At 36.4% G+C, this 16,865-nt stretch overlaps 1 protein-coding gene and 1 long non-coding RNA gene across 13 annotated transcripts in view; one reads left to right on the forward strand and one right to left on the reverse strand.

Annotated features, from left to right (window-relative positions):
* The window catches only part of MAGI2 (membrane associated guanylate kinase, WW and PDZ domain containing 2), a 1,436,613-nt gene that overhangs the window by 1,122,337 nt on the left and 297,411 nt on the right, over positions 1 to 16,865 (reverse strand). The gene's annotated exons all lie outside the window — the stretch shown is intronic.
* The window catches only part of LOC105375366 (uncharacterized), a 37,408-nt gene continuing 20,940 nt past the window's right edge, over positions 398 to 16,865 (forward strand). Inside the window, exon 1 of the long non-coding RNA XR_927698.3 lies at positions 398 to 467. This is a non-coding gene — a long non-coding RNA (uncharacterized LOC105375366). The remainder of the gene's footprint in view (positions 468 to 16,865) is intronic.

Here is a 16,865-nt window from a genome sequence, read left to right on the forward strand (position 1 = left end):
TTCTCTGTTTTACAGATTATAACACTGGGACTCAGGGAGGTTACACTTGGATACAGAACATGTGCAGACACACAAGGGAGCTACGACTCAAGCCAATGTCTGAAGGATCCCACTCTGATACACGGCTTCCCTCATTACTGCCACTTACTGAACTCCAGCTATGTGCCAGGTATCATGAGACAAATGGGAGGTTGTATTTTGTCTCAGGAGTATTACCCGTAGCTAAGGAAGGCTGTCAGGAAGCAAGGGGTAAATTTGGTAACTGGGAGTACTATACACGAATTGAGTGGATGAAGATACATGTCTACTTCTTTATTATAATTCTAGATCACTAAGCAACAGTCACATTATTACCTGGATTCAAAGGCTGTTTCCACAGCAATAACAGTTTAAACAAATGAACCAAAAAAACCATAATGTGGAGCCTAATGGTTAATCTCAATGACTACAAGATGCCTGCAGTCATAGTAAGCATGTTTCTTATTTACAATCCTTTCAGAAAGTAAATGGAAACCATGTGAAGATGGGAGTAAGCCTAGAATTTCAGTAATATGTGTGAACCTGTAGCAGGGCATGGCTTCCTTAAATGCTGCTCTGATACCCTGCCACTTGGGAGCCAGCAGCTTTATAAAGGTAAACACAGCTGATTGGCTTTAACTTTCCTGGAATACATCTGACATCCCCTTTAGCCTTCGAGACCATTAAGATTTTGGCCAGGTCTTTAAATAGGTCATTTGATTTCCCCCAGGTTTTGACTTCTGATCATGAAAGCCCATCACATTTGCTAGCTTAAAGCAATTTTTATTTGTCACTGTGGAGAAATGGTATGGTCCAGATTTTATGCTGAATGTAGGATTCTAAAAATTGGGTGTTTATTTCTTGTTTTCTCATTGATTCACTATATTTTTGCAAGTAATTTAATCTCTGCATATCTATTTATCAATTATTAGTCTGGGAAACATAATTTTTTGAAATTCACAAGCTCCTCAAAAGAATATGAATTCCTCTCTGCCCCATTATTAATAGGCCTCAGAAATGTTGTTTCTCTCCTCTGAGACCATACTAATTATTACTGTATCTTGTTTATGTAAATAAGACTGTGTAGTGCTTTAAAAAATAATAACTAGATACAAGAAGTCATTTGAAACCTTGAAATATGGAAAGGACGATGAAAAACAGTAAATCTGACCCCACGATTAATGATTTGAGCATCAAAAAGTCAAAATAGCACAATGATTGTAGGTTTCTTCCAGAGTCTTCAATCTAAACATCAGATTATGAACCATAATCAATATTATAAAATGTTATTTCCAAATTCTAGGGTATATTTTCAAATTACTCTTAATATGGCTTTGATCTATTTGGTATATCGTTGTTCTCCCACTATCCTAGTGCCTAAAGTTCAAAGAAATGACACAGTATGTAATCACAATGTAAAAAATTACGAGATTATTTTAAGATATTTTAAATGTAAATTGTTTCCTTTATTGTTTTTGGCAATAGCAACATTGTTAAGAATATTAAGTCCTTTGGTTTGGTTATAGCATCAATACGAATCCAAGTGTGTAGTGCCTTAATCAGTTTCTAAATACTTCTAGGTTTTCAAATAAAAAGCAATTTGTATAAATGAATTGTCAAACTGTCTAATCCTTTCAGTTGTTTATAAGTACTTGGACAGTTCACCATCACCACAAATCCTACATTTATCAAATTAAAACACCTTTCTTCTAGGCAAGCTATTTTCTCCTCATGACCCCAGTATCTGCCGCTCTTGACAGTTTTTCAAAAACCTGGATTGTTTTCTCAACTCCTTCCTTTTCCTGTCTTGTATTATCTTCATCAGGTGCAACATTTACCAAATGATTTCTTTGTTCCAGATGATGTGCTGGATACTAAAAATACAGAGAAAGGAAAATACTTGGCTCTTGGATTTTTCATATATTTCACTATACAGAAAGTTACTGAGTCCTCCCAGTTTTCCCTTTCAAATGTCTGTATCATGCTGCCATTTCAACTTGTCTAAATCCTCACCACCTCATACATGTATTAATGTAACATCTACTTCAGAGCCAAATTTATTCTTTGCCACTTCTATTTCTGTCCCCTATCTCTCATTACTTCTAAAAATAATGATGCACACCATTGTTATTCTAACTTTCCTTTGGGCCTTTGTTTTTTTATTTCTTTGCTCAAAAGTCAATAATTATTAATGTACTATATCTTACTTCAATAATCAATGCAAATGGCCAAATAACGTTGTGTTCAATAATACCCAAAACGTCAATTCCAGACTTTCTAGCTTCTTGGTACCCCATTATTCACCATCACAAAGTTGAATTCTCGTTGGCTTTGTTCGTGTTTTTTTTTTCGCAGATCTGGAAGAGTTGCCATGCTCTTTTGAATTTACATAAATTCTTAACATCTCCTTAGCTGAGGCTCAAGCTTCAATATCTAACTAGTTCCAGCTTCATAGGATACCTATGTCTTGAATATCAATTAAATTTCTGGGTTTTAATGCATAATACAATACTTTTATGTAGACTAATATTAGTCTTTTTCATTTTGCCTATATTATCTCGATGGAAGAATCCAGTGAACTGTCCTTCCAGGTTATTTACCATACACAAATGTTGGTTGGGTACAATAGGTACAAAACAAATAGATACAAAATAAATACTTTCCCATAATCATGAATCACTGAGTGAGGTTATACATGTTTCCGGGTCTTACACATTGTGGCTATAATTACAGGCAATATAGATCACTGAGGCTTAACTAGAAATGAAATTTCATGTGGTAAATTCACAACATTTTCCTTTTCTAATTTCCCACTTATTTTATCTATTCTGTTATTTGGATATCTTGATTGGTTCATGTTTTTACACCAGTGACTGTTACAATATCCCCTCTAATTAAAGTGTACATTCTCAAAAACTTTCTTTACTCCACCAACACCTGAGTTTGGTTCACATTAAACATAAATTTATGTTGTTAAAATGATTGAGACAGAGTTTAACTCCACAGCTTTTCTTTAACAGGAAAAAATGCTTCTAAACTGAACCTACAACCTTATGGCTGCATGCCTTGGTTTCGGGGTTACCGTTCTAGAAAGAGGACCTGAAGATGGGTGTATTGAAAAACTGGAACATGGAGAATGTTTTGCTGTGAGTGTGCATGTGTGTGCATGTGGATGTGTGAATAATGACAATTACATATTGTAATGATGATGTCAACATGTAGTTTAATCTTAAAAGATATATAGGCATTTACCAGAACATAAAATGAGAGCAAGTCCAGAGACCTGAAGAGTCTGTTATTTTACTTGCCTGACACTCTACCGTTAAGCATGTTGGATCTAGCTCCTCAGTTTTACCTGCCATCCAGCATCTGTTAAATTGTTCCCACCCTTTTAGTGTTTTGATTATCCCCAGTCATGGTCCCTGTTCCACCAGCAGAGAAGCTGGAAAGTTTCCATGCGATAAATAGGCAGCATGTCAGCCAGGGAGCCCACCCTTTTTGCTCTTTGACAAGTGACACATGTCATCTTTCTGACACTACTATCAGCTGCATTTCCATATGCCATGCTTCACATGACATTTCAGGCAACGCCATGTCTTCTTTTATAAAAGCCTTTTGCAGTTTTGTTCTGATAAATGAACAAAGAGTGAAAATAAAAGATCAGTAAAATAGATGGCTTTTAAACTCTCTTCATTTATTATAATCCAGAAAAATGTTTGTGGTAAGTTGTGTTTAATCAGTATACATAGTTTTCACTCTCTAGATAAAAACATTCAACACAATTTTACATAGTGCTGCCAATAATTTTGGTTTTGACTTAGGCATAGAGTAACTTAGATGCAAACAGCAGACGGATGTGGAAAAAAGGTGAATAATTATTTGTGCTTCATATCAGGCTCTAGGAGAATAGCTAGGGATAACTTGGCAATACTCTGTTTCAGTATTAAGTGATGTGAAGAGATGAAACTATGCAAACACAGGTTTGTTGTAACATCTGTTAAGCTAAAAACACATCCTAAAGAATTGTGTTGATTAAATTACACATTTTCACAGTTCTAAATGAGCACCTGTTCTGTCCAATTTTAGATGACCATGCTCCATTTGCTGTGGTAATAAAACTCAAATAATAATAAATACAGTGTAAAACTCTGACCACAATATCCCAATGCTGATGTAGATGATTAAGATTGAACTTCAAATCCTACAACACTTCAGGATAAATGGCCTAAAGCAGGAACCAGTGTATAATTGCTTTTAAGAGTTTTGTTAGATATAGAACAAATGTGAGCTTCTATTTTTCAGCACAGATTACAATTAATTCTAGTAATTTTAAAAGCTTTTGAACAATAGTTAAAACATTACTTTACAATTATATGATATTTAAATATCCCTTAAAATTTCAATATTACTATCATGCAAAGCATATAACATTAAAATGTAAAATAAAGTATATATTTTATATGAAACTATTAAGTCATGTAATAAATACCATTTTAGTTAAGATTTATCTTCCAAACTGGAGTAGGAAGAAAGGAATTATATAATTACAGGCACAGAAGATAGATAATTAATACCTAAAAATAACAAAATTAGGTACTTATATAGAACACTTCACAGCATTACCAAACATACAGTATCCTACTTGCTTTTTGCCATTTCCTCATCTGTAAAGTGGGACAATCATTGTACTTACCTCATTGTTTTCACAAATGAAATGTGTTCATAAATGTAGGCAAAGTACCCACAGCAGTGCTAGGCACATAAGAGGCATCATGTAATTGTTAGTTATTAATGTTACCTACATAATATGTATAACAGGGAGAACTGAGTAAGTTCATATAAAGCACTGATATGGTTTGGATTTGTGTCTCCAAATCTCACGTGGAATTGTAATCCCCAGTGGTTGGAAGAGGGGCCTGGTGGGATCATGGGGACAGATTTCCCCTTTGCTGTTCTCATAATAGTGAGCCAGTTCTCACAAGATCTGATTGTTTACAAGTGTGTATGTAGCACCTCCCCCTTCTGTCTTATTCCTGCTCCAGCCAGGTAAGACAAGACATGTCTGCCTTCCCTTCCACCATGATTGGAAGTTTCCTGAGGCCTCCCCAGCCATGCTATCTGTAAAGTCGGCAGAATTGTGAGTCGATTAAACCTCTTTTCTTTATAAATTACCCAGTTTCAGCTATTTCTTTATAGCAGTGCAAGAATGGACTAATATAAGCACTTTATGCCTTTTACATAGTAAGAGTTCACTGTGAGTGCTAACTACCTAAGAAGCAGGTGACAGGCATTATTACTCTCATTTCCCACATGAAGAAACTGATGATTAAAGATACAAGCAAAGCTTCCAAAGGTCAAATGTCAGTGCTCCAAAGAGAGAAGTTAAAACTTCACAGTTTGCCGTTTAAAATTTCTATGGAATCTTCCATTTTTAACATGCCTTCCCCAACCCCTCTATTTATCTTTCCTATTTGTTTCTGTGAATATTACGGGTGACAATTTATCTTAGTCAGGAAATGTGCTGCTGCTCCAACTGTGGCTCTGCACTCACATTAAAGAGATTGTTTCATTTTTGGTTTCTATGGAAATGAAATTTCTGACTTTATTGCTGGGTTTGGAAATGTTTTTCTAGGGGTTGACAAGGTTCTTCTTCACAAAAATGAAGGAGCTGACCTGGGCTTTAGGATTGGGAAGTTGTTATTTAACATAATTTGGGTATAAGGAAGGGTCTACTACTTCCTAGAAAATTGATGTGCTGCCTCTGAACATTGCTTGATTTAAGAAACAATTTTTTCCTACTTTATTTTTCTGTTAGAAATATACATTTAAAACATGTTCCTGTCTTCCATTTCACCTTTCTTCCAAAGAGACTTTATTTTATAAAAATCTTCCACATATTTCATAGCCTATTCATTTCTCTAATACATCATGTATTACCTAGGTAAGGCATGATGTTCGATAGAGCACAGGAGTCCCTAAAATAATAGTCTGTTGATTTGGTCTCAATAGAGGAATATTATAATGTCATCCTTGAGCTGGGAAACAAGAAACCACCTACAACTAAACAAAATGTGTTTTTGAGCAAGCATCTGCAAAAAAAGAGCAAATGAATTAGGGAGAGCAAACAGGAAGACCTAATCTATTCCTGCTGTGAAAATACAAGTTAGAAAAAAAAAAGCCAATAAAATACATACTAGTTGCACTATCAGTCCTCAGAGAACCAATGCTCGTGTTCACATTGTCTGTTTTTAAAAGCCTACAGAGCATCTGGCTTCTGAATCTCTGCCACTCCAGAACTGAAATCTCCAGGGATTTTAATTTCTGAATTTATTTTTAGGTAATCAGAAGTACATTATGTCTAGCACATTTGTTTTCTCTAACCAAGGCTGATGCTAGTTGAAGTAGAAAAATTCAATTCATGATTAAGGAATTTGGTCACTGGACACTAATAGAGTGTCATGCATCCAAAATCATGCTCATGCAGAGCCCTGCTTCACAGAAGGCGTTTCTTCTTGATTCAGCTATCTTGATTTGGGGCATGGAAGAAGGATGCATTTTCAAGGACTAATAAACCCAGTTACCATGCCCTCATTTTTGTTATTCCCAATTTTATTAGTAGGAACTGAAGAGAGTGATGTAAGAGATTTTTTTTTTTCCTTAAAGAAACTCAAAGCTGCACTAAACCTCTGTTCATGCTCTACAATCCAAAATGTGTGTGCTGGCTTACCATTTGAGAAAAGTGCTTATTGTGTAAGCTTTAAACCAAGGTATGCAAAATTGGACTCAGTTGTGATGTGGAAGAGGGAGAGCAAAATTAGCTTTCAGCAAACACAGAAGAAGATTAAGTTTGGATTTTTTCAGGCAACCACACCTTTTTGTGCTTTGTACCACTCATGATCTTGTTTGTCTCTTGCTGTTCTCACGAGTTCATGTGTTGAAATTCAGCTTTCTTATTTTGGAAGTTGCCTCTTATGATCTGGACATTTTTGGTTTCCTACTGCCTATCCTGTGTCCTTTGCCTCCTGTAGGGTCCAATCTTTGACAGATATGACTTAATGGATGGTGTGATTTTGTTGTGTCCCCACCCAAATCTCACCTTGAATTGTAATAATCCCTACTTGTCAAGGGTGGAGCCAGGTGAAGATAACTGAATCATGTAGGTGGTTTCCCCCATACTCTTCTTGTGGTAATGAATAAGTGTCACAAGATCTAATGGTTTTATAAATGGGAGTTCCCCTGCACAAGCTCTCTTGCTTGCCATCATGTAAGACGTGACTTTGCTCCTCATTCACCTTCCATCATGATTGTGAGGCCTCCCCATCCATGTGGAACTGTGAGTGCATTAAACCTATTTCCTTTTTAAATTACCCAGTCTTAGGTGTGCCTTTATTGGCAGTGTGAGAACAGGCTAACACAATGGATAATGTCTTTTCCATCTAATAGGGGAATTTTGCTATTCCAGTGTAACTCTGCCCTGATGGAGTAAGATATTTCGTCTTTCTGTCCTAATAGACTGTGCTTTATTTAGCTGGCTCAACCTCTTACCCGAAGCAAGAGTCTCTTCTAGATTACTTGAGAGATATCAAAGTGTTAAGAATGCAGGATCTGCGATTAGACCACCTGAGTTCATATCTCAGGTCTAACAGTTACTACCCATCATGGGGTGCTCATTTGAACTGTCTATGCTTCACTTTTCTCATCTGTAAAACTAGAATCGCAGTGTCAACTGCATAGGATTTTGACGAGGATTCAGTAAGTTAATACATGCAAAGAATCATTCCAGACAATGTGCAGCCCATAGAAAAAATATTCAATAAATGTTACTTTTTAAAAAAGAGCTTTTCCAGGATTTAGTAAACCAAACCAAGAGTCAGGAACAGGAAAATAATATATGAAGTAATCATCATGGAGTAAATGACATTTATCCCCAAATAAAGCCCAAGCTTGCTTTACTCTTTCTTTTCCCACAAGTCATGCCCACCCTTGGGCCGTAGTGGATCCTCCTCTAGCCTTTAAAAGAAGTAAGCAAGCTCTGCAGGTTGAGAAAGTGGCTTGGGCTGCTTAGCTTGGGAACCAATGCTGCCTCTCTTCAACTCCAAAGAGCACCTGCACAGATGACACAGGAGGGTCGGTGCCTCAAAGACCATCCCCTAACAAAAGATGTCAGTGAACCCTTTGATGTCCACCCCAGGGCCCAGATAAACAGTTTAACACTGTGACTGCAAACCTGATCTCATCTTGCATTCTCTCTCCTTCACTTTCCCTCACTTCACATCTTCTCTCTCTGCCCCTCTCCAGAAACAGACTCTGTGGAGGTGCATGTTCTCTTGCCCCAGGGAATGGAGCAGGAGGGACAGGAGAATGGAGCAGGGAGAATGCAAAGCATGAGGGTGGCAGCAGCTCTGGGTGGGTCAGGTGCCAGGCCCTGGGTGCAGATCACCTCCTTGTCCTCCGGCCAGGTATGTCCAGCTCTAGCCGCAGCTTGTATGTTCTGAGGGGTCAGAACCTGGCTTTAAGGTATCGTATCCACTGACATAAATTATGAAACATTGGCTTGCTTGCTACTGTACATAGATAAAGGGTTTCTAGTTGAGAGATGGAATGGAGGCTTTCTGGAGCACACGGAAGTGTTGGCTTTGGATAAACAGAACTTTTCTTATGGAAGAAGACCTTGTCAGTGGCCCATCGAAGCCCAGCTCCCACATATTTTTATCAGAAGGAAATTTTCAGAACAGCTCTTCATGACTGCTCCATGGGCAAAAGCTATCAATCCATTTATTGCTGGGCTGGATTGGAGCGAGGTGGGAGGTGACAGAGAGAATGTGGGATGTTCACCCTTTGGTGAACCTTGTTAGGATGCTTTGCTTCTCACTGTTTAGAAAGACCTACAGGAATGCCAATTCCTGTCATTGAATCTGTGTCTTGAGTGATGTTGGGTAGAAATTCTGTCTCACTTCCCAGGCCCACCTAAGTGTCAGTCACTGGCCTTCACTGGGTGATCTGCCTAACTATTTCCCCTGAAGGGTGAAATTACGGTGGTCTCTCAGCATTTAACCATTCTGTGTGGTTCTGCTTCTTCCATTTTACTATGTTCTCTATTGTAAACCTCATATATCTTCTTGTTTGGGTTTATTCCAAGTTTGCTAGACTTGGAAGTTTCTAACTGGTTCTTTATTGGTCTGTGTAATCCTTTGTCCCATTTTTTGTCTTCATTCAGAGGTAACTCACTCTGGCCATGGATGTGTTTGTGCTTGAGGTCTCTCTCAGGCTCTCTATGATACCAGGAAAAAAGAGGGTGTGTGAAGAAAATGTGGGCAGCAGATTGGGACCCAGAGTTTCTTGAATTGGTTACAAAGCCCTGGCTCTCTCTGGCCCTTTCTCTGTATTGTATACTATTTGGTGGTTATCCATATATATATATACACATATATGTATGTTTTATATATATATATGTATGTTTTATATACATATATATGTTTTATATATATATGTAATTATTTGCTCCCTCTGAATTCAGGAGAGTGTGGAAGGAAGGAAATACCATGTTTGCATTGCTCATCCTCCCCTGTCTATTTTCTGGGACATTAGTGCTCCAATGTTATTTTTAAATAGCACTAGATTTTAGGAAGTATATATATATATAATATAATATAATATATTATATATATGGATATATATTTTTATATGTAATATAATATATTATATTATATATAATATAATATATATACTTCCTAAAATTATATATATATATTATATATATAGACAGAGAACCACAATATGCTTATATATATAGAGCGAGAGAGAACCACGGTATACTTCTGGGCATCTTCCTGACACTGATCTTACCTCTGGTTTCTATCACCCAATCAAATAAGTCCACATTACAATTTCACATGACAGGTTTTCACGCCCTCAATGCTGATTACCACACGCCACTGCTAACTCTACTGGCTAAATGGCTCCTCTCATAACATGATTTTGGATGCGTAACCTTTGCAGACACCTTCTTTGGTGGAGCTCTGGTCACTGATGGGCTCATTTTCTTTCAAAGGGGATGAACCACGCAGATATGCAATGGAGCAGCATTAACCCAAACCTGAGAAGGTTTCACCGGAGGAGGAAGCCATGATTTTCATTTCCTTCAAAGACTGAGCATTGAAGGAAATTGAATCATACAATGAGTTAGTCCTTTCCAATTCTTTTGATTATATCAAGAAGCAACCTTCAGTTTAGTGCTATCTTTCTACTACTGGCAAACACATTTCCAGCCAAGATCCAGGGAACCTCAGGCTCAGAGCCTTAGGTAGGAATATCTGGCAGGAATTTAGGGTCATTGCCTCATTTCAATTTACAGTAAGGACACAAGGTTTCTTTTAAAAATAAATATATTCAAGATATTTGAAAAGTCAGTAACTTAACAAAAAAAGTATTATTTAGCAGAGTCTCAAATTTTTTAAAAATGGCATTTAAATGCCTGAAATTAGGAAAGACTTTAGTAGGAAATTCCAGAAACATTCTTTTCCTATCAATATTAAGCAATAGGAGAGCTGCAAGTGTTGATATGCAGGGGAGGATTTGTTAACCTATGTGAGATCAGGAGATAAAGTGTAAGAGGAAGGGGGAAAGATGAGCTGAAGTTAACTAGCCACATGTTTGTGTGGCAGAAAGATGGCATGAAAGTCAGCTGGCAGGAGGAAGGAATGCAGGGAGATGAGCCAGACCACAATCACGGTGGGGACAGGTAAGAAGGCAAATCCATGGAGCAGCCCTAGAGCCAAGAGATTTCCTTTCTGAATCTAAACATCTGTGTACATTTTCTTTTCCTAAATAAAATGGTAAATTTACGGTTAAAAAAAAAAACCCTTAAGGCACACATTAAACATTAGATCTTTCATAACTCCAACATCCCAAAATAGCCAATGTTAACATTTTGTACATTTCTTTTTGGTTTCTTAATGAAGATGGTGGTAACACCAATAAATATCTTCCCTCCATAGACGTATTGCAGATTTTCTTTTGATGATAAAGTTAAAATATTTTTCTAGACATTTCTCCCTAAAATAAATCTGAAGTTAAGAAACACTTGGCAGAAATTTATACTTGTCAAATGACTCATTTGTCTCTGTATAAAAGAGAACTTTATCAATATATTTAATCACATAAATAATGTGTTCTAAAAGTACTATTTTTCTTCATTTTGATATTTTTGCAGAATGTTGATTGTGGAATAAATGTTTAATAATATAACTTCCCAGAATGTTTACATGATATTTCATATCAGGTGGGCCATAATTCAATTTTTCCTTCTTTTTCATCAATTCAAATATTTCAGGATGTCAAGCTTGAAATAAATTTGTGGGACTATACAGTTTTTTCAATGAGAAGACTACAGAACCTATAGTAACTAAACCCTACTAGATAGTTATATGGAAAAATTCAGGTTTTCTATAAAGTAGTGGGTTCTTCTTTTAAAAGTTGACTAATAAAATATCTTAAAATAAGTTATCTAGTTAAAGGCATTTTAAAAATGTTTCACACTTATTTATCTTATTCACTTAAACTGGGCTCACAGCGTTTTTGTTTGTTTGTTTTGTTTTGTTTTTGTTTTTGTTTTTGTTTTTCTGAGATGACCAGGCAGACTTTTTAAAAAAACATGTTAGCTTCCTCAGTGCTGCTTCTGTTATTGAAATTACCAGTTATTATCATTTTGTTGCAGACGAAGATGGCTATGTACTTTCTTGCATATTTTCAGGAATAGATCATTCAAGAAATATATCATTCAAGAAATGCTTTTTTATTACATAACTTTTTGGAATTTCATGTAACTTCTATCTTGTTACCTTGAAACCTACTAAATTGTTTTTGTAGCATACAAAATGTGCTTTACAAAAAAATTAGTATTTAATTATATCAAAAGATGAACAATCTAACATTTGGCATATCTAACGATGGAGCCCTATCTAGCTAAGTTAGGCACTACAATACTAGAATGTAAATGATTTATTTGCAACTAAATTTTGTTACGAAAGCTCCTTATTCTTCATTTTCTCCTTTTCTCCAGTTTACATTAAATATTCTCAGAATCCCTGAGGGCACACAGGGAGAACTGGATGCCTGAACTACTATCATTAAAATTAGGTCCTGATATCAAGTATAGTGTGACTGAGTATACATTAGAAATACCCCCTGGACATTGAACAATTTTTAACCACTAATTTTTACATACAGTCATTTTCTGAAATTATTCTGAAGGGAAAAATAAGCTGAATTCTGGACTTCAGCAGAACATAACACAGGGCAGGTAAATTTGATAGAAAAGTAATAAGAAAAATAAGATGAGAACAAGGTGTTTGTGGAGAGACAAGTCTATGTGTGGCTTCCCTGTGGATTTATAAAAATGAAAACTACTTCAGCTGGAAAAAACCTCTAAGGGAGAAAGACACAAACTCCCCTTTTAGATGCCTTACCAGTACTTCAGGTGTCTAAAGTCCAGAAATTATGGTGTGACAGTAGATTGTGATAGAACATGAATCAAAACCTGTCCTCATTTTGAAATTCAAGGACACCACTTCAGGATGATGGGAGACAATCAAAAAGGGATAAATTAAGATACGTTGGGAGGAATGGTAAAGTAGCACTTCAACTCCCTTTCTTCTATGTAAATAATGGAAATAATGTGTGGTTTATCATTCAGCAGTAAAGAGAAAAGGAATTATAGGGAAAAGAGAATGTTCAACTGCCAGTGTGTAGAAGAGTATCTAAGTGTAAGTAAAATACTCCTAACCAACAAAGCAACAGATTGAAACATCACTAGAGAAAGAAATATCATTCGAAACTGAATTTGAAAAGCAGAATTATATTTTTTCATTGACTAAAAACATTTCATCTACTTGACAGTGTTTTTGTCAAGACTCCTGTTTCTCCTGTGGTTAATATTTGCAAAGCACCTTGTGCTTTTTGGTAGGAAGGATTGATAAGTGAAAACTAAATCTATGTCTGAATAAATAACTTTAAAAAGTACAAGCTTCAATTTTAAGACCTAGCTTCGTTAAGAAAAAGTATTCTTGCTTTTGAGATTTAAATTATGCAAGTAAGTGCTATTTGGCTACAATTCATCACTAGCACAAAACACAGAAGTTTTTTTTTACTGAGCCAGGCAACACTGTCTGCTGGTTTCCAAACATGGATGGGTATCAGAGCTCCAGGGAGGCGGGAAGTGCTTTTAAAATACATATATTTTCAGGTTCCACTCCAAATGAATTTCTATAAGATTCTGGAAACTGTCAGGTTTACAAAGTTCTCCAGGTGTTTAGGTGGAGCAGACAGGTTGGGGATTTAGAGGTGGAGTCCATCCTTAACTTTGAATACCCACATCATACCTGTTCTCTATGCATGAGGTAGCAGTAGAGCTTATTGTAGAGAACTTTCATCTCTATCTCCAGTTGTAGGATAAACTGAGTACAGACTTAAGGTATCAATTTCAACCTCAAATTATCCTCTGAGACAAAACAATGATTTGTAATTTTTAAAATCTCCAATTATATTATGAACTTCTTTATATAACAATTTCTATTTTATTAATTTTGGTATCATAAGCCTTTAGAACAAGCTTTGGATAAATCCAGACAAATATAGTATCACTTATTCATAGAACAAGTATACAATGGTAAATAAAGTGATAAGAACCCTTTCCTGGTAGAGCCTAGATTCTAGTGAAAGGGACATCAATAAACTCAGAAGCAAATAAATACCCAGGATAGTTGAGAATGCTTTCAATTTTGATATGATTAAAATTCTTAGTTCTTCTAAATTTAGTCAGCTCTACAAGCCATTTATTTCATGTCTTCAAGAACTTCATTTAGTTACATGCTTGGCAACTGTTCATTGAATGCCCACCAGGCTCTGAGCACCACTGGCGAGCAGCAGACCTATAGCCTGCCCTCATGGAGCGCACAGTTAATCTAGCAGGGTGCAGGCAATAATAAAATAGTTTTACAAATAGATAACTACAAATTGTGAGAAGTGCTTTGAAGGCAAACCTACTGGAGTCATGAAATCACATAGCAGACTGGGCAGGGTCTAGTCACAGAGAGAGCAGGAAAGGCCTCTGTGCAATCAACTCTGAAATGAGACCTAAGCATAAGAGTAACTACGTGAAAATGAAGTAAAAATGCATTCCTCTGAAGGTGAGTTACGGCTGGAGGACTAGGAAGGCATTGAAGTGGGCAAAAGTATGGCTAGGAGTGAGGTCAGGGATGGGCTGACCCTAAGCATAGTGGAAGCCATGGCTGGGTTTTTATCACAAGAGTTACAGGACCAGATTTGCATTTGATGTCAATGGAGGACAGGCTGAAGAGCAAAGCAAGGACAGATTCAGATGGGTTTATGCAAAGCATCACATTAATGGATAAAGCCTCATTACTTCCAAGGCCACCTTTCACTGTGATCTAGTGTATAAAATTAAAGTCCTGGCATTTTCCACACCAAAATGGAATAATTAAGAAACAGGAAAGTTAAATTAAAGGAAGAAATATAAAAGAGTAATTTATATGCCATCACTTGGGCCAATGGCTTCTATCAATTACTTTTAAATATATTTTCCATTTTGAATTTTAATTTCTAGCTGTATATTCCTTTTTTGGAACCTTTAACATTTCATTTTTCTGACTTAAGAAAGAAATAGACTTATAAAGGACCATTTACAACTGTAAGGGTTGTAGATAATGTTTCTTTGGCTATCTTTCAACAGGTGAAAGTTAGTTTCAGCTTATCCCAATCAGATAAAATTTCTATTTGTACCTTTCAAATGCAATTTCAAAAGTATTCAATAAAGTAGTCATTGAATATCAGTGATTCAAGAAGTCTTGCCTTCAGCATTTGACAAAAGAGCAAAGAAAACCTAAAATACCAACTTTGCTGGATGACATTTACATGTCAAGCTTCCTTTTCTTGACTGTTGAAAAATGTTATTTTATTACAAATTTGATTACATTTGATCTTGTTTTGACTGTCTACAAAGAATGTCTCTCTGCTAATGCCAGTAAAAGCACAAATAAATTGGAAGGGCATCACCTCCTAGAATTACTAACAAATGCCAAGCCAATCCATATTATCACCAGTGTTGGTTTCAAGAAAAGAAGTACTTCAATGGCTGCCTTTAATTTCATTTTCTTGTGCTTTTAGAGGAGGAGAGATTTAAATGCCAGACCATCATTTACATAGAAGAGTTTTAAGCTGGCAATAACATTACCTCAAGCAGGAAGGAACCTGGAGACAGACTACAAACTATTCTCTGGCTACCTCAAATCTTGTTGAATATTTAGCCTGGCTGACATTACTTTTGTCTTTCAATTTCCTCTGTCATTTGTGCTTTTTTCTAACATGGTACCTGTCTGCCTGGAATGGTCTGCTGCTCTTTTACTCCTTTAAATGACTTCTGAAAACTAAACTCTTGCAAACAAACAAAACAAAACAGCAACAACAACAAAAACACCTGTTTTGCCCATTTGAATCTATTTTGCGCATGGCTTGCACAATTCCCTTCACACTATATTCTCCTTTTCCTTACGTTTGTTCCACTTGTGGAAAGGATAGTAACAGTGTTGACAGTCCATAATATGTTCAGGTCACAGTCTGTCTTCATTATTTTGGGTTTATTAAAATTTTCACAAGGCACATCCCATGGCATCAAAGTAATAGCAATAATGCCAGCTGGTTTGCAGGCAGGGGTCTATGAGGAGGGCTTACTGTTAATGGGTATAGCAGTGGCTTTGTTCTATGCTTTGCTTTGCTTATTTACAGGTGTAGCTTTTAATTGAGATGATCAATGTTTTAAAGTCATGAATAATCAATTTCACTTATATATTCATTTATTCACTCATTCATGTACTCATCCAAGTATTTGCTCAGTATATTTTACAATCAGCACTGTGCTAGACTCTTAAGATAAAATGCTAGGCACATAAGACAAGGTTCCTAACTGCCTAGAGTTTGCTCTAGTGGGGAGGGGGGCCATGGTAGGTATTAATTAAACAATCTCACTGATAAATATATAATTACACATTGAGAGAAGTATTTGGAAAGATGGGAACACCATGGTTCCATAAGCCCAGGTAACAAAAAAATTTAAGTAGGCTGCTGGGAAGGTGAGGAGAAAGAATCCAGAGAAGGATATTTTCCTCAGGAAATGACAAAGGTGAGATCTAAGAAAAAGGCAAAGGGGGACCAGAGAGTTGGAAGTGTGTTTTAGACAGAGGGTATAGCATGTGCAAAGGTCATCTTGCAGGGAATACACCTCTCTCAAGGAACTAAAAGAAGGCCAATGCCAAAGTGACTGCAGTCAGCAGTAAGAGAGATGATGGTGTGAGATCATCACTAGACTGAGGCAGGCATGGGGTCAAGTCAGAAGGCCCAGTGGGCCTTGTTGAAGACTGGGTCTTCATCCGACTACAAAACATTAAAAAAATGTTATACTGATGGAAGTATAAGTGAAGAAGCATCAAACTGACTTTTTGAAAAGAACCTTTTGGCTAGAGTATGCAGATTGGAGTCACCCTGAATGCTAACATTTGGTATAACTCATTTAGAATGAGGAATGGAATGTTGCTTCTTTTCATGCCTGAACTCTTTCAAAATCAGACTGTGATGTTAATGGGGACTAAGCTCTGATTTTTTTTATCTTCCCCAAATTCCTATCTAAGGGGTCTGGGGATTCATGCCCTACAAAATATAACTTCTTGTTAGATGGGTTTTATTTAACTCTATGTATCGTGACTTGCTTTCCAATCTGATTCTGCCATAACATTATGTAACAAAGAAGAAAATCAAAATATTTTACCCCAAAACAT

Source organism: Homo sapiens, chromosome 7 (genome assembly GCF_000001405.40).
Source record: "Homo sapiens chromosome 7, GRCh38.p14 Primary Assembly".
NCBI classification, from domain to species: domain Eukaryota; kingdom Metazoa; phylum Chordata; class Mammalia; order Primates; family Hominidae; genus Homo; species Homo sapiens.